The 20,895-nt window shown below is 39.7% G+C and overlaps 1 long non-coding RNA gene and 1 pseudogene across 1 annotated transcript in view, besides 2 other annotated features; one reads left to right on the top strand and one right to left on the bottom strand.

The window, feature by feature from the left end:
* Window positions 3,084–3,158, top strand: RNY5P3 (RNY5 pseudogene 3; annotated as a pseudogene).
* Window positions 5,390–5,590: a silencer, noted in NCBI's record as "peak4920 fragment used in MPRA reporter construct". NCBI's record gives its function as "represses an SCP1 promoter by STARR-seq MPRAs in K562 erythroleukemia cells {active_cell/tissue: K562}" and the evidence as "EXISTENCE:reporter gene assay evidence [ECO:0000049][PMID:32103011]".
* Window positions 7,633–20,895, bottom strand: part of LOC105374211 (uncharacterized) — a 69,709-nt gene continuing 56,446 nt past the window's right edge. The window contains exon 3 of the long non-coding RNA XR_924701.2: window positions 7,633–7,943. This is a non-coding gene — a long non-coding RNA (uncharacterized LOC105374211). The remainder of the gene's footprint in view (window positions 7,944–20,895) is intronic.
* Window positions 9,390–9,953: an enhancer, noted in NCBI's record as "NANOG hESC enhancer chr3:170553092-170553655 (GRCh37/hg19 assembly coordinates)". NCBI's record gives its function as "activates a minimal SCP1, AML or CMV promoter by ChIP-STARR-seq in naive H9 embryonic stem cells {active_cell/tissue: H9 hESC(naive)}" and the evidence as "EXISTENCE:reporter gene assay evidence [ECO:0000049][PMID:30033119]".

The following is a 20,895-nucleotide window of genomic DNA, read 5'->3' as shown; positions in this document are numbered from 1 at the left end:
AAGATGGCTAAGAGCATTACCTGAAAATGGCTAAATTTACCTTTGTAATGAATTATGCAGTTTACTGAACCCAGTATTGATCTGTGGCTTTTAACGAACATAGAATTACAAGTACAGAGAGTTTCTGATGTTAATTCTAATACCTCTTCATTACTGAATGGTGAAATCCATAGTGAAACTAAATCAAAATGGCTGATACATTGCATGGAGGCACATGGACAGCCTTTGTGAACTTTGGAAGCAGAGAAATTGAGGGAGGACAACCTGCTAGCCCTCCCTTATTAACTTAGCATTGCAGTTCCTTGTGGTAGTCACTGGATCTGACCTCAAATATCCTACTTTTCCTCTTTCTGGACATGAGACTGCACATTCTCAGCTCCCTTTAAAGTTAACTGTGGGCATTTGGCTTGCTTTGGCCATTGAAATGTGAGAGTAAAGTGACACAGGTCACTTCTGGGTGGAAACTTTAAGAGCTAGTGTGTATTTTGCCACTTTATCTTTTCATGCCTTGGTGATTGTGGAAGCACATGTTGAAATGAAGATTCCATCAGCTTGGGTCCCTAAGAGATTACAGTGAGCAGAACATCCTTGCCAATCTGCAGTGGATATATAAGTGTGAGCAAGACATTAACATCTGTCATTTTAAGCTCCTGAGATTTTTTTAAAGTTGTTTGTTTATGCAGCAAAATCTAGCCCATACTGACTGATACACTCCTTACAATTCAACTGCATATGGGAGAATGGTTTCTTTCTCCACCTAAGGTGAGTCAAAACATGTGTGTAGTCTCATTCCTGTGGATAGTTTCCTAGGAACTTCCACCTCCAGTGCCTTTACAGCCCTTTTCATCTCCAAAGAGCACATGCCATTTTTCTTCTCACCATACCATACCTAGATTTTGCTTTGGCAACCCTTTCCTCTGTTCAAAGGTAAGAAAAAGGAATCTCTTTTTTGTTTTATGCAAGGAATGCAGAACACAACTAGGAGTATGAAGCAGGGAAGACATTGAGAGTTTATGTCAGGACTCATTTCACTAGTATTTCCCCATAACTGCAATTGGCCCCCATTTTTCCTTCACTCAGGTTCATTCATTGTTATCCTTCCAAATCCCATAGTTGTTCACAACTCAGGCAAGTCACGGTTCCCTCCTTTGATAAAGAATAATAATAACAATGTAGATCTCTCTCACTTTCTCTTTTTGCAGTTCTCAAGACCAAATTTTAAACTACAGAATCTTTACTAACTGTATTTCTACTTCCATGGCCCCACCACACAGTTTATCTGCTGCTGCATGCATCTTTATAAATGCTGGGGGTTAAGAATATTTCATTCTATGTTACTCTGCATAAATATCTGATGCCTGAAAATTGTTTTTTCAATGTGACTCTGATAGATGGGATAGATAAGCTGTCCTAATTTTTTTTTTGAAAGAGGCAACTTCCAAAGTTGGATTTTACATTGAGATATTCTCCTTCATTATTAAAACAAAAAGACAAACAAAACCAATTCTGTGGTTATTTCCTGTCTTGAATTATGGAAACCATCCCTGTTATCTATAGCTGTCTGAATTTTGGAAACCATCCCTGTATCTATAGCTATCTGAATTTTGATGTTTGGGCATTTTGCATACATTTATGTGAGGGTTAGACAGATGTCTTATGACTGTATGAGGAAATGACATGATATAATAGTTTAGAATGAAACTCTGAAGAGAACCTTGGCTTGTACTCTGGACATTCTTTAATGCAAACTTGGGGTGATGAAACCTATCACAAAGGCTTGTTGTGAGCACTTAATGTGAATGGAATAGAGGAAAATAACATTGTTATTCCTAACCCCCTTCACTTTTTAAAGAAGTTTAATTTGCTGATAACTGGGTGTATAATTATGCAGGCTGCAGGTGATAGACTGGAGGGAGGAAAAGGAATCAGTGGGGCTGGGGGCTCTATGAGGGTTGAAGGGGACAAGGAAAACCCCAGCTGGCAGCAAAGTTGGAGAGTCGGGGGAGGATAGTTAGCTCTGATGAGGATGTTTGAAACAATTTGATGAGGATATGTGATGTAAGACCTCTTCTGTGTTTCGTCTTTGAAATTTTTAATAAAGTCTATTTTTTAAAATCTCAAAATGCTGACAATGATTGTGTTTCTTATGTAAAAATGGTGTGGAGGCCTAAGTTCTTACTGGCATTAGGCTAAAACAGAGTCAGTTTGTAAAGAAGGAGTAACAGCTTCTATCTTCATTATAAATGAAAACAGTCCACTGCCTGGCAAATCAAGGAGGTCTAAAAATCTCTCTACATCCATTGTCTGAGAGAGAAGGAGGTATTTTGTAACAGGGAACAAGAGTGGACATTTATAGCATTTGAACAGTGTTACATTTGCAAAGGTCTGTGATACAGCATTTAGAGATTGAAGTAGCTGGCAATTAGCAACAAAGTTAAAGAAGACATTGTTTCTTAAAGTCTGAGATTTAGACAATTGGAGACAGAAATACTAAGGATTCAAGTACAATATAAAGAAATCAAGTGCTATCGTGAGGACTCAAGACTGCCATGTGATACGGTCCATTGTGCATACAGAGGTAGCTGTGGATGATACTGAACTAGGTTATGAGAGAATACAAAAATCTGGACAGGACCGGGGCTTCCATAGGAGTTTCTATAACCATTTATGGTGGATCATTCATCTGTATCCTAGAGTAAACAGTTTTGGGGGAATATAGTAGTGTTTGTAAACTATATAGTTGTTGTTTTGCTTTGGGGCTTGGCTCAAATGTTTATTAACTTTATCATAAATCATTTCTTAATGTGGGATCAGTTCTTAATCAAACTTTTTAACAAAATTCTTAGAAAATACATCTAGGTACCTAACTTAGATGGATACAGGATTACATTTATGGCTAAGTTTCTGAATCCCAGAACGTAGAGTAGGTAAGAAGCCATCCTCGTGAAAATCTGTCTCAAAACTCATCATTGTGCACTTCCATGTGTGTTTGATAGCCCAGGATTTTCTTTTCAATATCCTTCCTCCTAGTTATAAAAGTAATAAGCACTATAAAAATAAACACCATAAAAACAATACAAAATAGTTGGTCTGAGGGTGCTGGGTTATTGTTAAGCTGAGTAACATTGTCTCCTCCCACAACCATACTTGACTAGTTTTTTAAAAATATAAAATGGGAACGCCTAAAGAAGAAATTGAAAACCATACTTAATCTCACCATCTAGATATAAACATTTTACACCATAGAATATTTAACATTTGGGTTTTGGAAACTAAGTTGATGAGCTCTATAAGGACAACCCTGAAAATAAAAAATTGGTCCTTAGCCAAGATTGAGATATATGTACATATATATCCTTTAATTCTTGAAATTTACAGAGGAACCCTACAGTCTTTTATATTATTCCTTAGATACGCAGTGATTTCAGTATTTGGAATTGCAGAAATGAACATTTGATTTATTAAGATAATCTTTACTTGCTTGCCAAATTTGTTTAACTATCTAACAAGAAAAGTATTGACTACTCTAGGTGTTCCATCATAGCTGATTCATGTGTGTGATGAAACAGGTGAAGGTATCTATTCTCTCTCTTATTGTCATGAAATAAAAAGACATCTTTTCTCCTATTATTATACACCTTTTATGGCAAGTACACTGTTTATTATAGTTTTTCTTAACCTCTTTACATGTTTTCTTTATTCTGTGTGTTACTTTTCTGATTTAACTCTGAAAAATAAGATAGAAAAGAATGAAGAATGTAATTTTAAATAATTAGGACTTGATATATTGACACATCTCCTTCTTAAAAATTATTAAATTCTATGGGAAAATTCACGGAACACTAAGCCCATGAAGGAATCTGCATACATGTCTGCATTACAGTATTGGATATAATATTTTGGCAAGTTTGATTACAGAAAGACTTGCATAGGATGATAAAGTTTGGTAAGGGCAATGTTTTCTGGGGATGTGTTTAACCTCCCATAGTGGAGAGAAGGAAGTCTAGGGAAAATTCCCTAACTACTTTGATTAGTCTGTAAAATTTATCTAATTAGATGACTTCTTCTGAGCACATTTGACTTGCTAATTAGTTTTCACTTAGTTAAGCAAGAAAAAAACTGGTCACCATTAAAGAAATTCTCACCCCCTACTCACTTAAACTAGATCATCTTCATGGAGATGTTTAGAAATTAACTGAAATGTCATTAGCATATTCCATTTCTTAGTCAACCTAACAAGACAATTCCCTGATGTAAAAAATGTGCCACTTTATTCTGAGCTAAAAAAAAAAAATCTATCTTTGACCAGAGTTTTTCTCATATGAATATTTTAGAACCAAGTCTTATCATTTCTAACCACAATCATCTACCAAAGAGGGAAAATTATCTGCGATTTTGAAAACATTCTTGCTGCTGCTGTGTTGAAGAAAAATGCATCTTATTAAAGCATCTTCAGCTGGCATTTTTCATGAATTGATGGACATCTGTTCAGCTTGGGTATTGTGCAGCTCAAAACACATTTATTCTCTCAGCATTCTTAAGGGGCTCTGTGCACTCTTTGAATGCCAAAGATAACATCTAGATCAGCAATTTCTCATAAATCATTGGAACATGGAACATAAAACAAGAAGAAACCAGGAATTCAATAATAAATATGGCAAGGTGCACAAACAAGAGAATTGAAACCAGATGAAAAGAAGCCTTTCAGAACAGAAGGTCAAGAAACACGTTTCCCCTGCTCCCTCAGAATAATCCCTCTGATTGTGCTTCTATCCAGCCATCAGCTTACTGCTCTGAGTTGGTTTTGGGATATTTATGTGGTGAATTTAAGGTTTTAACATACAACTGAAAAATTAGTGTAGTTTATTTTAGTTTGCTCTAGGCTCCAGGCCATTACGCAATGAGGGGGTAAATAGTGTTTATTGTACTTTAAGGAGTACTGTGCCCACATGCCTTAACATAAATTCTGGATATGAGTACATAAATGTAGCTCAATGTATGACATACACACACACACACACACACACACACACACACACACACACACACACACGAAGTTACATAAAGCAATGTTCTTACCAAAAAGGGGTCCTGATCCAGACTCTAGAGGGTTCTTGGATTTCATGCAGGAAAGAATTTGGAGTGAGTCCATACAGTAAAGTAAAAGCAAGTTTATTAGGAAAGTAAAGGAATAAAAGACTGGCTATTCTATAGGAAGAGCAGCTCTAGGGGCTGCTGGTTGCCCATTTTTATGATTATTTCTTGATTATACGCTAAACAAGGGGTGTAGTATTCATGCCTCCCCTTTTTAGACCACATAGGGTAACTTCCTGATGTTGCCATGGCATTTGTAAACTGTCATGGTGCTGGTGGGAGTGTAGCAGTGAGGACAACTGGAGGTCACTCTCATTACCATCTTGGTTTTGGTGGGTTTTGGCCAGCTTCTTTACTGCACTCTGTTTCATCAGAAAGGTCTTTATGACCGGTATCTTGTGCTGACTGTCCATCTCATCCTGTGACTAAGTATGCCTTAACTTACTGGGAATGCAGCCCAGCAGGTGTTAGCCTTATTTCGCTCAGCCCCTATTCAAGATGGAGTTGCTCTGATTCAAATACCTCTGACAATGTAACTAGCTTTGTTTTTAAACAAAAATGTCAGAATTTGTCAGGAGCCATGTTAGAAAGATATACATATTCCAACAATATTGACATAACTAAATATATTATGGAAATATTGCTTTGAATCTTGAAAACTGAAGTCCATTTATTAAAATATCCTCTGTGGTGACAAATTGTCATCATTTTCAGTGAGGTTGAACTTCTGGAAACATAATCATTTGGTGACAAGTATGGTAAATAGTGTAGGTGAAATAATCTTGTTAAAAACAACGTGGAATACTTAATAATGAAAGTGGTTTTGAAAGCACTTCCAAGGACAAGTTACAAAAGATGGCCAATGTCTTCCCACACAGTTATTCAATATGTAAGCTGAATATTGGGATGTTTTTGGACTTTGTTTTGTCTGTAACAGCCTCGTTTTACTCTTTTATTTTTAATATTTTAGTTTAAAGTGCTTGAGGAGAGCACACTTATAAAATGAATCCTAAGCAATCATTTTAAACTAAAGAAATTATCATATGAATAAACAGTAGATCACTGCAAGTTCAGATTTATTAACACTTGCATGTTGTTTGTTGTTTTAAAAAATCTGAATGCTTTCATGGCATATTTTGTGATTATATCATCTTTAAGATACTAAGTTGATTCATTTTGGTCCTTTCCAGGTCTCCTTAAATTTAGTTTTTTACCCTTGATTTTAGTTATCCATATTAGGCTTATCAGAAATAAACCATTGCAACACAGGCAAAATCCCCTCACACCCACCTCCTCAGTCCCCCACTGAGGATAACTTCTTCCCATGCAGAGATACATTATCCCCCGCATTGGTCACTGTTCAAAAACCGAATTCTATTTTGTTACCTAGGTTTTTCACTACACAGGTAGGCATTATCACATGTGGACCTGGCTCTATAGCTAGAAAAGCAGGGTCAAAGATGCAGCCCTTCCACGTGCCAACTATTACTCAAGTTGCTCAACTGCTCTGTGCCTTAGTTTTCTTGTGGGCAAATTGGAAATTATTGTAGCTCCTAATTTATGGATTGTAAGTTTTAATGAGTTTAAAACACCACAAAGAGCTTCTGGTAAATGGTGAATCTCAATAAACATTTGCTATTATTAATATACTAAAATAAATATATAGACAGGGCATGGTGACTCACGCCTATAATCCCAGGAGGATTGCTTGAGGCTAAGAGTTCAAGATCAGCCTGGGCAACATAGAAAGACCCCCATCACTACAAAAAAAAAAAAAAATAGCTAGGTGTGGGCGTGGTGGTGCACTCCTGTAGTCCTAGCTACTTGGGAGGCTGAGGTGGGAGGATCACTTGAGCCCAGGAGTTCAAGGTTACAGTGAGTGATAATCATGCCACTACACTCCAGCCTGGGCAACACAGTGAGACCCTGTTTGTAAAAATTAAAAAAAAAAAAAGAAAAGAAATTAAATCAATAAAATAGATATACAGAGTAGCCTTTTAGCTGTATAATTATTCTTTTAATTTAGAAATGTATGGAGAACATTCTCCCATACCTGTAAACACATATTTTATAGCTGATAGTATTTCAGTTTATGGATACACAATAATTTACTACATTAACCCACTACATTGGATATTTAGATGTTTCTAAATTTTTGCTTTTGTAAATGATGTGACAACTTTGTTCATTATTGTTTCCTTAAAATAATTGCAGTTTATGGGCAATTTTATACTGTGGGTGTTTTTTGTGGGTTTTTTTTTTTTTTTTTTTTTTGGTAGAGATGAGGTCTCACTATGTAGCCCAGGCTGGTCTTGAACTCCTGGCCTCAACGATCCTCCCACTTCAGCCTCCCAAAATGCTGGGATTGCAGGTGTAAGCCACTGCATCTGGCCTCAGGTACATTTTTAATCATTTTGATTTTATTTTCCAAATCAGCCATTAGAACTGCATCAACGTACAGTCACATCTATAGAGACTATATTAATCTCTAGAGCTAATCATGTACATTTCAGTCTGTACATCAGCATAATTCCTCTCTACTGCTCTAATATATTAGCTGCCTCTATACATTTAACACAGACTTCTCACACAGAAAAACAGGTTTTTACTAGTTCAGTCACCCAAATTATCTATATTATTGCAAATGCCTGGTTCTTTCCCACTGCCTTTGTCTTTCTTCTTGATTCCATTTCCTGTCTCGTCTCTACTCCTTTCTCCTTACATCCTGTTGCATGTCTGTTTCTTCAGAAAGGTGCAAGCTCCCAATCTCAGGAATTTTCTTCTGACCTGCTATCACTAGAGTTCTTCAAAGCTTAGGGTCCCTACTGCACAAAGATCTGGTCTTCTTCCTTTAAGCCGGATGAAATAAAAGATGAATACTAAAGAAGGCTTACAATGAAAGCAGAGGCAGAAAACAATAAAAGAAGAGAAACCGGCCGGGCGCGGTGGCTCACGCCTGTAATCCCAGCACTTTGGGAGGCCAAGGCGGGCGGATCACGAGGTCAGGAGATCGAGACCATCCTGGCTAACATGGTGAAACCCCGTCTCTACTAAAAATACAAAAAAATTAGCCAGGCGTGGTAGCAGGTGCCTGTAGCCCCAGCTACTCGGGAGGCTGAGGCAGGAGAATGGCGTGAACCTGGGAGGCGGAGCTTGCAGAGAGCCGAGATCGCGCCACTGCACTCCAGCCTGGGCGAGAGCGAGACTCCGTCTCAAAAAAAAAAAAAAAAAAAAAAAAAAAAAAGAGAAACCTCTACTATGGGGGATGATTCTAAGGTAGGGCTCATGTACGTGGAAGTTCTTTATACATTGAAACAAAAACATTTAAGAGACATCCTCAGGTGTAGAAACAAGGCATAGAACAAAGTGTAGTGAATGTTGCCATTTGCATTAAAAAACAGAGTATAAGAATATGTGTGTGTTGCTGGTTTATCCATAGCACACATCTGACAGCATACCAAACACTCTGGTAGCTCTCATGGCCTCAGGAAAGCTGGGGGTGAAGAACAAGGATGTGAAAGGGTTCTTTTCATTCCCTATCCTTTCATACAGTTTGATTTTTTTTTTTTTTTTTTTTTTTTAAGACAGAGTCTCCCTCTGTCGCCAGGCTGGAGTGCAGTGGTGTGATCTCGACTCACTGCAACCTCCACCTCCCAGGTTCAAGCGATTCTCCTGCCCCAGCCTCCCGAATATCTGGGATGACAGGTGCGCACCACCATGCCTGGCTAATTTTTTTTTTTTTTCTTAAGTAGAGATGGGGTTTCATCATGTTGACCAGGCTGGTCTCAAACCCCTGACCTCAGGTGATCCACCTGCCTTGGCCTCCTAAACTGCTGCGATTACAGGCGTGAGCCAATGCACCCAGCCTGAGTTTTGAACTATATGAATGTATTGTCTGTTCAAATGTAGATAAGTAAAATATGTTAAAACTTCTCATTAGTGAATGCGTTGTATTACTCCTTAACTTACATAATGAAGCTTTTCTCTTTATAACCCACTCCCTGTCTTTATCCTAAATTGTCCTATTAGCATACACAATAAAGGACCCCGGGGACTAAAAGGCATTCTTCTGACAAAATTGTTAATCGTAAATTTCAATTATCCACAGCCTGAATATGACACATCTCTGTCATGAAATCCTTCCATGTTATCTTCATTTTCATTTTATGTTGGGTAAAAACTAAGGGTTTGGGAGGGAGGGGCAGCAATTGCTTGTAGGTTTCAAACTCAGAGGCAGGGTTGGAGGAAAAAAAACCTAGGCTTTCCTTTTTTCTTTTCTTTCTGTTTTTTTTTTTTTTTTTTTTTTTTTTCAGAAGGAGGAAGCTCATTATGTTTGGATCACCCACAGCTATAGATTCTAAAAATATTTTGGCTTTTTTTGAGGTGCTTTAGTAAAATATAACCCCAAATGATTCACTTGGACAAGTGGTCTTAACAGCAAGGAAAACAAACACTTTATGAAAACAGCTATAAGCCTTCTGTCTTTTATCTTTACTATTTTCTCCGAGTCTGGCATGAAACAGATACACAGCAGCCTCCACAGGGGGTTAAGTAGAGAACCATCCAAGCATCACAGAGTGTCATCCAGAATTCTGATGACTTCCATTCGTTGACTCTGATGCACAATATGCCTGGCTTGGGATGCAGCGACCATGATGCCCCTCCCAGAACAGACACTTGCAGAGTGTTCCAGGAACAGCAGCTCCCTCCAGCCCCCAGCACAAGATGCACACATCTCAGAACAAGCCTCCATCCTTTTCCTAGAGAACTGAGCATAAATAACTTGTTCTATATCTGGCTCCAAGTCCATTTCTGTTCTGTCTTGGAGTAGAGTCTTAGCTCCCAGTTTGTTTTAGGTCAACTTTCAGCACCTACTTCAGCTCACTTGTTTGATTTACTAAGCTCTTGCTTCTGTATATTATCAAATGTAGGGATGTAGGGAGAATAAAAGGATCTAGATACTTGCTTTTAGGAGAGATTAGAACAAAGCTGAAGGTGGAGGCATTAGTTCCTAGGTCTTCAGATCTCAGAGCAAAGGACCCACTCTGGAGCCTAAATTCTATGAGAGACCACAGAGCAGCCTGAAATCCAAAGGAGTTTTACACAGGAAAAAAAAAATACTGTGAGGACTTACACTAAATAATAATGTTGTTTTGAATGGGGTTGTGGGTAATTCCTATATTCTTCTTTATAACTTTTGTACTTTTCAAATTCCCTAATGTGAACTCACTACTTAGTAGGTCTGTAAGCTTAAACATTACTATGGCTTGGAATCTCATTTCAAAAAATCTTTAAAATGGGGACAAGAGTAAAAATTTCTTAGCTTCTATGGAAGAATAAAATGAAATTATAATGATACAGTGCCTGGCATGTTGTGGTCGCTCAATAAACACTGCTTTCCTCCCCATTGTCCTCCTCTTTATTCTGTTTCATTACAAGGTCAGCAGATTGAATCAGGACCAGCTGGGAGGGCTACTTCTATGAGAGAAGATCTGTCCACAGTCATGGTTTTCAATGTTTAGTGCACCAGAATCACCTTGAGGGTTTGTTAAAACAGACTGCTGAACATAACACATCTATGAGAATGGCCAAAATCCAGAACACCAAATGCTGGTGAGGATGTGGAGCAATAAAAACTCTCATTTATTGCTGATGGCAATGCAAAATGGTACAGCCACTTTGGAAGACAATTTGCCAAATTTTTACAAAACTAAGTGTACTCTTACCATACAATCTAGCAATCATGCTCCCTGGTATTTACCTAAAGGAGTTAAAAACTTATGTCTAGACAGAAACCTGCATATGAATGTTTATAGCAGTTTTTTTCATAATTGCTAAACTTTGGAAGTAACCAAGATGCCCTTCAGCAGGTGAATGGACAAATAAACTGCAGTAGATGCAGACAGTGGAATATCATTCCATTCAAATGAGCTATCAGGTTGGTGCAAAAGTAATCGCGATGTTTGACATTATTTATATGGTTAATGGCAAAACCCACAATTACTTTTGCACCAACCTAATGTTAAGCCATAAAAAGACTTGGAGAAAACTTAAGTGCATATTACTAAGTGAAAGAAGCCAATCTGAAACGGCTACAGTCTGTATAGTTACGACTATAGGAAATTCTAGAAAAGACAAACTATGGAGACAGTAAAAGGATCAGTGGTTGCTAAGGGTAAAGGGGAGAGAGGGATAAGTAGGCAGAGCACAGAGGAATTTCAGAGCAGTGAAACTATTCTATATAATACTACAATGGTGGATACATGTCATTAGACATTTGTCCAAACCAATAGAATGTACAATAGCAAGAGTGAGCCCTTAATGTAATGTATGGACTTTGGGTGATAATGATCTGTTCATGTAGGTTCATCCATTGTAACAAATGTACCACTCTGGTGGGGGATGTTGATAATGGGAGAGGCTATGCATTTGTAGGGGCAATGGGTATATAGGAAATCTCTGTACCTTCCTCTCAATTTTGCTATGAACCTAAAACTACTCTAAAACATTGAGTCTTTAGGAAATAAACTTATTTAGGAAAAGAAAAAAAGAAACCAGACTGCTAGGTCTCGCCCCCAGAGTTTCTGATACAAAAGGCCTGGGGTGGAACCTGAGAATCTGCATTTTAGTAAGTTCCCAGGAGATATTGATGCTGCTGGTCCAACAAGCACACTTTGTTGGTCCAGAGAGCACATGTGGATCTACAAGATGTATGATAAAAGTCCATTTCAAATTAGTCTAAATGTAAATATCTGGTTGCTTCTTTCTTATTTCTCTTTCCTCCCTCCCTTTCTTCCTTCCTCCTACCTCCCACATTTTTTATCTTCATATTTGGGGGTTATAGAAACCAACTATATTTCTCACCTCTGTATTTTTTTGTCAACAGCTCAAGCCTCTTCTTATGTTAAGAAACCAGGAGGGAGCAACAATGTTGTTTTGTGTTAAGTATCTTGTTTCATTCAGATACTAAGAAAGAGAAACAAGTATTCTCTGGGTTGTTTGCTAATCTGAACTGGTATTGTCTATTCAGAATAGAAAGTCTTTTTGATGACTGATGGTTTAAAAAAAAAGGGGGGAAACTCTATAGGCTACCTGTTGCCAAAGAGTATTTTTGACATTTTAGGGTTTGTTTTATCTTTTATCAATATAAATATTTGAAAAATATAATAGTCAGGAAAATGGCTAAGGAAAACATTTCAGATCAGTGCTTGAAAGGACAGCTCAAGTTCAGCCTGAAGACTATTAAAGCCCTCCTCGTCTTCCACTCAGCAGCACCGTGTCCTTTCTTGGGGCCCATGAGCCCACTGAAGTTGAATACAAAGTGCTGTGTTTGCTTATGTGCATTTTTCTGGGAAGGTTTATGGCCTTTGGTGGATTTTCAGAGGGATTGTGACACACACACAAAAAAAGATTAAGAAATACTGCTATGGGGATGTGTCTGGTCAAAAGCTACATCTTAATTTCTTGATAAAAAAGGTAAATTTCTAGCGAGCTAGCAAGATACCACCATCTCAGCGTTTCTCATTGTTAGAATAGAGAAAAATGTTTTCCTAAATGAGTTCTTGTCACATTTAATGAGAGGTTCGTAAGGCCCTTAGCATAGTATCTGGTGTATGATAGATGCTAAATAAACGGCAGCCAGTAACAGTGAAGTCCTGCTTGCTGTGCCATTTGTCTTACGGTGATTGCTACACAAGCACTAGAAGCAAAAATCTTTGGCATATCTTTGATTCGAACTGAAGGATCAGTGGTCTCTCTCTGTGAGATAGGGGTTATTACCTTCATTTTACCAATAATGAAACTCAGCTTCATTTCCAAAAGGACTTAGAGGTAGGTGTTATTTTGTTACATTCACTTATTAGAGCCATATTTTCTGTCAGTGAAGTTGTATCATCATTACATACGTATACCAGCATTTTACCCATTGTGTCTTGCAGGGAGTATCGTGATTTCTGAGCACTCAGCCTCTGAAACAAGTCTGAGAAGGACTGGTCAAGATGAGATCTTGGAAGACAGCTTGGCCCAGGCTGGGAAGCATTGATGGGTAAAGATTCCTCCATGCCTTTTCATGGCCTTGTCTGGTTCTCAACTCTGTGCTCTGCCTCTGAACCACTGCCATGGTGAGGAGTATTGCTTATCCCCCCGTGTCATGCTCCCTAGGAAGTAGTTTTGTACTTAAGCAAAAACTTGGCTAAGAAAGGGAAAATATAACATATGCTCATGCACAAAACAATAACACACACATACCACTTAAAATATTTTGTTTTCCGAAAAACGTGAAAACAAACAGACTCCAAATTAAGATAATATTTTAACAACTTACACTGTTGAGGTTGATGATAACACTCAGCAGAAATGCTTACTGTTACTCCCAGCTAATTAGTCTCTTGTGTTATTACAGTTCCTCCTCTTAGCCAAGGACCTCACAAATGGAGTAGTTAGGTCCTTGCTACTCAACATGTGGTCTGTGCATCAGCAGGATCAGCATAACCTGGTCACTTGTTAGAAATGCAGAAACTCAGGCCCACCACAGACCCGCTGAGTCTAAAATATACATTTTAATAAAAGCTTCAGGTCATTCATATGCACATTAACGTTCAGGAAGCATTGGTTTAGGTAACCAAATACTTTCTGCTGAGCACATTTCCAGGGCATGGAGATAGCTTTCTGCTTCTTGCCTTTCGTCCTTCCAGCACACAGAAGGGTCAGTACCAGAGTACCTCTCTGCTCTCTAGAATCCTCCTCCTCCTCTTCCTCCTCCTCCTCCTTCTTCTTCTCCTTCCTATTTCTCTTTCTCTTTCTTTTTTCTTCTTCTTCTTTATTAGAGACAGAGTCTCACTATGTTGCCCAGGCTGGTCTTGAACTCCTGGGCTCAAATGGTCCTCCCTCCTCAGCCTCCCAAAGTGCCAGGATTAGGCTGGGTGCAGTGGCTCATGTCTGTAATCCCAGCATTTTGGGAGGCTGAGGTGGGCGGATCACTTGAGATCAGGAGTTTGAGACCAGCCTGGCCCACATGGCAAAACCTCGTCTCTACTAAAAATACAAAAAAATTGGCAGGGTGTGGTGGTGCACACCTGTAGTCCCAGCTACTCAGGAGGCTGAGGCAGGAGAATTGCTTGAACCCAAGAGGTGGATGTTGCAGTGAGCCGAGATTGTGCCCCTGCATTCCAAGCTGGGTGACAGAGCGAGACTCCATCCCAAAAATAAATACATAAATAATTTTTTTAAAAAAGGTAGCGAGATTACAGGCGTGAGCCACCACAACCGGCAAACCACCTCCTTCTTCTCCTTTTGTGGCTTCTGGCTCATTGAAGCATCTAGGGATGTGTCCCATGTTGATCAAGATTGATTGCCACCCTCTCCTGAAAAGCCCTGAGCCAGCAAAATCAGAAGCCAGGCAGAAGCAATTCTCCATTCCACCAAAATTCTTCTGTGTGGGCACTAATGGGTAAAGTGTAAAGGCTCTACTTCCCAATCACAGCACTCCTAGAGCAAGTTTTTAATGACTTAAAATGAAAGAACTTGCTGCTCAGGATTCTAACACATAATTAATAAGAGCATGCTGGAAAAAAAAAAAGGAGAGGTTAGGAAGTGACACGAGTAAAGAGAGATGTATTTAAAATAGAAACATTGTGGGCCTTGCTGGGGCACTGTTCTATTTACAGGTAAGCCACTTACCTAACAATTTCTGTATGGGAAAGTGCTTTACCCAGTTCCACAGTGATGATTTTCAGAGTGCGCTTGCATACCAGTAGTGAATTTGAACCCACTATTGGCCAAGAGCAAGCTGACTATGTGGATCCTGGGACTGCCAGTTCAATGTGTGTGCCTGTTTTAAGGGTAGAAAGGATTTGTTGTTAACCAGGTATAGTCAGAAACGTAGACACGGACACAACTGTCCTGAAGGAAGAAGTTTTCATGCTCACAGATCCCTAGAAACAGGAGGCGTGGCAGGTTGCACAGGGCCACATAGGGAAGCATTCAAGAGGCAGAGGAAGCAGGAAAACACAGGCAAGAGCCTCGATTGTGGTTTTCACAGGAAGGACCAGGCGAGGCTGAGTAGGCAGGTTCGTGGCAAATTTGAGCACTTTCAATGAGCTCTGGGGTACGGGAGCTGTGTCAAGCTGTCTTGTAGCTGGCCCTGGGGTGATTAGGGCAGGTCCCAGAGTGTAAGAATCCTGAGAGAGTTCAATAAAGGAGGTGTTTGTGGGTTTGGGCTCTGGATTGGTTGGTTTGTATGTAAAAGGCGCATTCACAAGCTAATTGTCTGCTTTCTCTAGTAATTAGCTAACCTTGGGAGGGGTAGTCCCTCCAGGGTCAGCAAGGCCTGAAAATGTCAACACATCAGAAATATAAAAATAAAAAGGCACGATTAATACCAGCCCAACGAAATGGAATGAGCCTTTGAAGCCAAAGTCTGGAGAAGTTCAAGCTGTCTGTTCAAGCTGTATCTACACACGCAAACAATCATTTTGACCATTTGGAGGGAAGAACTAAAATTAATTCTGTAAGCTGTTCATCTAATATACATTTATTAGTGGACAAACTGAGTAATTCATTTGGGGGGTGTCTAGGGAAGGTGGCATTAGTGAGCCCTAACTTCAGGAATATAAACCATGCTCTTAGGGGTATCCAGTAACTATCACCAAGAGAGATGGGAACTGTTGTTGCTGTTGTTATTATTATTATTATTAAAATGGTGTCCAGACTTGGGGACAGAGCAAATGATGGCAGCTTCCCAAAGACACAGGGAGAGAAAAAGCAGGTTGAGTCGCTGAGGGTAGAAATCAAAAAAGAGAACCTTGTCAGGGGCTAGCCTTTGACACGAGGAGCTCTGGGATTCTGCAGCAGAAAGTCCTCCAGTGAGATCTCCTCTCAGACTCAGGGAGGTTAAGTGATGTGACAGAGGTCACAGAGGAAGAAAAAGGCAGATCCCAAGCCCAAATCCAGCTCAATGGGCTTCTTAGCCTGGAGAAGTCCAGGGTAGTGTTTCTCAAACTTTAGCTGCTTCCAAATCATCCGGAGGGTTTGTTAAAACAGAGTGCTGGGCTCCAGCTCCAGTGTCTGATTCAGTAGGTCTGGAAAGGGAACTGACAGTTTGCATTTCTAAGTTCCTAGGCAATGCTGATGCTGCTGGTCCAGGGACCACACTTTGGGAACTCCTGCTCTATAAACTTCCACCACTAGATAGAGACAGTTTGGATACTGCTTTCCTAACAGGCCATTACCATGTTCCTAACTCCTAAGGACGGCTTGTCTACTGGACTATAGCAGAGAAGTCCATTAATGCATAATAGGGACAGGAATGATCAGTGTTCAAATGTCTCCTCCCTCCCTCTGTTTCTTCTCCTCTTCCCCTTCCCTTTCTCACTGGGGAAAGATTTTGGCTTAACAGTCAGCTCCCAGGTTCTTTTCTAATATGTTGAAACCTCCAATTAGGCGAAACAGAAAATACAGGAAGCCTGAGAGGCTAAATTGCTGTAAATTAATGTTAAAAGAAAAGGAAATAGATTAAAAATCAGCTTAGGCTAGGCATTGCAAAGAGCCTTGGGGGTGAATTGAGAGTAGAGTAGAGAGTAAGAGGATCTGGAATCACGGCAGAAGGTCAGGAGGAGAAGAGAGAAGAAAGGTTCAGTAGACTATGGACTAAATGTCTTTCATAGCCTTCAACAGATACAATCAGAGATTGAAGTGACTTTTACTCCTGAACTGTCTCTTTCATTGTAATTCCATGTGAGTCTGGGTCACATGGGTTCTAGGATTGATAAGGAACACAAAATTGGTCTTAGAGTAGTGGTGATGGCTTTATTTAGACTCATTCTCTCCATTCCATTTCAACAGATGCCAAGAAAGCCAGCTAGGAAGGCATTATCAAGATGCCCAAGGAAATTCAAGAACACTGATGTTGCATATTTAATTTTTAGTTATTTTAAAATTTGTACTATGATTCTTCTTTGTTGCCTCCAAACATTCAGTAAAAGTTTATTATACAAAACAGAAATGTCCTGGAGAATGAGAAAGAAAGTAGTGTGTCTGTAATGGGAACAAAGTGGTAGTGAAGAGGATAGCAGCTGATAAGAGCAGTGATGCAAAAAGTAGAGGGGATGGAAATGAGACCAGGAGTGGAGGTTTGGAGTGAGAGGTGATAAGTGAGTGTGAAAATAATATAAAAATTGTAGAAAGCACTGAGTTCCTTACAGGCTATAATAGTTCTTTAACCATTAAACACAAAATTGGTTCCAAAAGCTGGAGAATAGTGGTACCTCTTAATGCTAGAGAAGAGAGTTGGATCATTTAAGCAATTTTTATAAACTCGTATAAGTTATTTAAATGTACATATGATCTGTCTTGAAACAAGAGAGCTATTATACTAAGAGTCAAGTCACCAGGAGGTGACTTCAGGATATGATGAAAAAATATATTCAATAAAAACGTCATAAGAAAGGCTGCATTTTGTAATGTTCCTAGGTGGATTCACCTTGATCAAAGAGATTTGAGCAAGGAGTTAAACATCTGGATTACAGGAAATATTTAAACAGTGTTGGTATTCTCAAAGAACCACAGAGTCCGATTTAACTTAACCAGTTGGTTTTTAGACTAAAAATCACCTGCCTGCCTCTGAAATACTTACAGAGCAATTTCAGCATTCAAATGCACAGCAACCTGACACAGGATCAATAATTTCTTTATTTTTTGAGGTTTGCTTTTCCATAATTTTAGGTAAGTTGCCCTCATTGAATTCTACCTTTCCAGACTGTAGAATTAAAGTGTGTCTCCTATTTTTATGATATATCATATTTGTCATAGTATTATTCTCTATTATATCACTATCATATATATTATTACTATATGGCATGTCATGTATATATCATAAAAATAGCCTGAATCAACAGCCCAATAAGCCTGCAATGAGCAGGCCCAGAAGCTAGATACCCATGTCTGTGGTGTGAATTGAAAAATAGTTCTGCTAAGGTGCCCAACTTCTTCCTTAGGACAAAGGCTATTTTACTCAGGAAGGTAACACATTAGATAATTTAAGCGGGTTGCATTGTAAGAGGTCTCTGATGTCACAAAATCCCAGTTCTACCATTTACTAGCTTAATATCTCCAGCCTCACTGTTCTCACCTATAAAATGGAGGTAAGTGTAACTATTTCACAGCACAGTGCCTGGCATTCAGTGCAGGTTCAGTAAATGTTAACGTCCTTCTCCCTTTGGTGTCCTTTTGGGTTACTCATAAGCTCACAAAGAGGGGCAGGATAGGAACACAAGGGCTGATCTCATTTCCAGACTGTGAGAAAGTAGGCTAGATAGAGATGAAGGTGCTACACAGGTAGAGTACTGACCTGTCTTTGAAACCTTTTAAATGCCAAGCATTGTCTATAGGCTACATGAACAAAATGCCTCACCTATTTCATTTTTCAAAAGTCTGTGGATGCTGTTATGATTCCTAAAATGTAATTTTAAAAATATCCATTTTGAATATATGGTAGCTTTGGTCATTCTATATGTTCTCAATCACTGGATGATAAAAGTATCACTATGCTAATAGATGGCATCCTCCCTCTCCACCTCCCCCCTCTTTTTAAACTTTTTTTTTTAAACAAAAAAACCACCTCTGATTGGAATAGGCTTGGACTGTCTGACCTGGAACTGGAGCCTTGTCCTAAGCTAAGGAGACAGGAAGGATCTAGGTGGCCAGAAGACCGGGTAAGCCTTGGCTTTGGGATTAGGGATGAGAAAAAGAAAGTGACAACAGGAGAATGTGCCCCCATCTCCCCCCGCCCCCAGTACAAATGTGTGGGGTTAGTTTGGGCTAGGCTCCCCCTAGGACAGTGAAGCAAAGTGACAGCAAATGAGCAACAACCTCAAAGCAAAGCTGGCTGTGTGAGGAAAAACCAGATTCTGCCATAGACTGGGAGATTTGGAATTCCTTCCACAGGCGGAATTGTAATTCTATTTGCTTTACCCCCTCCCACATTCTCCACTTCCTTTTGGTTTCCCCTCTGCTCATCTTTCCTTCTTTCTCAGTTCTTCATCTTTTCACACCCAGGGAGAAACCTGATTCCAGTAGTGAGAAAAACTTGTGAAACAAATATTTTTGTTGTATTACAAATCGGTTGTCATTTGTTTCCCATTTCCGCTGACTATTTACATCTGCCTCCCTGCCTGGCTTTATTTGGAGGCGGGGGAATGTGTAGTCAAGCCTTAGTACACGAACTAAAACAGGGATGACTCCAGAGCAGTACAACATGATCAATTAAGATGCTTGCTCTTAAAAAAACTTTGGCTATATACCTTTTTTTTAAAACAAACAAACAAACAAACAAAAACAACAGAGTCTTGCTCTGTTGCCAAGGCTGGAGTACTATGGCACAATCTTAGCTCACTGCAACCTCCACGTCCTGGGTTCAAGCAATTCTCCTACCTCAACCTCCCAAGTAGCTGGGACTACAGGCACCCATCACCACGCCCGTCTGATTTTTTTGTATTTTTAGTAGAGATGGAGTTTCGCCAATTTGGCCAGGCTGGTCCCGACCTCCTGACCTCAGGTCATCCACCCACCTTGGCCTCCCACAGTGCTGGGATTACAGGCGTGAGCCGCCGTGCCTGGCTGGCAATATACTTTTTTTTTTTTTTGAGACGGAGTCTCGCTCTGTCGCCCAGGCTGGAGAGCAGTGGCACAATCTCGGCTGACTGCAAGCTCCGCCTCCCGGGTTCATGCCATTCTCCTGCCTCAGCCTCCCGAGTAGCTGGGACTACAGGCGCCCGCCACCATGCCCGGCTAATTTTTTCTATTTTTAGTAGAGACGGGGTTTCACCGTGTTAGCTAGGATGGTCTCGATCTCCTGACCTCTTGATCCACCCGCCTCGGCCTCCCAGAGTGCTGGGATTACAGGCGTGAGCCACCACGCCTGGCCAGCAATATACTTTTTAACCATTTGAAGGGTGTTTTCTGAAGACCATATGGATACAAATGGAGTCTTGCCAGCTGCAACCAACTTTGTAATGTAACAAGTTTTACAGATATATGCCATTCTTGGAACTTTGAATTGCACTGTAGATACTACTTTATGTCTTGCTTTATTTTACTTAATATTTTGTTGTGTAAATTTTCCTTGTTATAAAATTTATTCATAGAGGAAAACATCTTTCATGGTCACATTCTATACTCCAGTGTGTAAGGTAGTAATATGCATGTAATCACCCTTCATTTGTTGTATATTTAGGTTAGTCCCAGTACTTACTAATATAATCCATGCTGTGATGGCCATCTTTGTGAACAAAACCACCACCTGCATTTGTGGCCCTTTCCATGGGACAGTCACTTGAAGTGACAACTCCTTGGCCAAAGAATATGAACATTTTGTGGGCTCTTAACCCATCTTGCCAAATTGTTTTCCAGAAAAGTTGTACCGTCTCACTACTCCACACCTACTACCCCTACCCTGTCTCCAGTCTCCACATGAGTATAAAAATAAAATGTGAAATGCTTGGTATACAGTACTTGGCAACTACTAGTGACTCTGTAAATGGTAGTTGATGGTGACGTTGCTGATGAATGAGTTTATTATCACTGTTACCTCTTCCTTTTCTCAGACTTGGTGTAGGGCCACAGTGCTTCTATAGTGCTCTAGGGTTTTCTCTGTTGTACATCATCTGCATGTCCAGAATCACCCATTTATGTCCCCGTGGTGCACTCCCAAGGAACTGAGTGGCTAAACTGATACATTTCTTGAAACAAGGGTCATTTTAAGAAAAACGGCTTACAGGTTTACCAGCCGTGGATTTTCAATTAGTG

Source organism: Homo sapiens, chromosome 3, assembly GCF_000001405.40.
Source record: "Homo sapiens chromosome 3, GRCh38.p14 Primary Assembly".
NCBI classification, from domain to species: domain Eukaryota; kingdom Metazoa; phylum Chordata; class Mammalia; order Primates; family Hominidae; genus Homo; species Homo sapiens.
The sequence above is the reverse complement of the archived record's forward strand: the minus strand, read 5'-3'. Positions and strand labels throughout refer to the sequence as shown.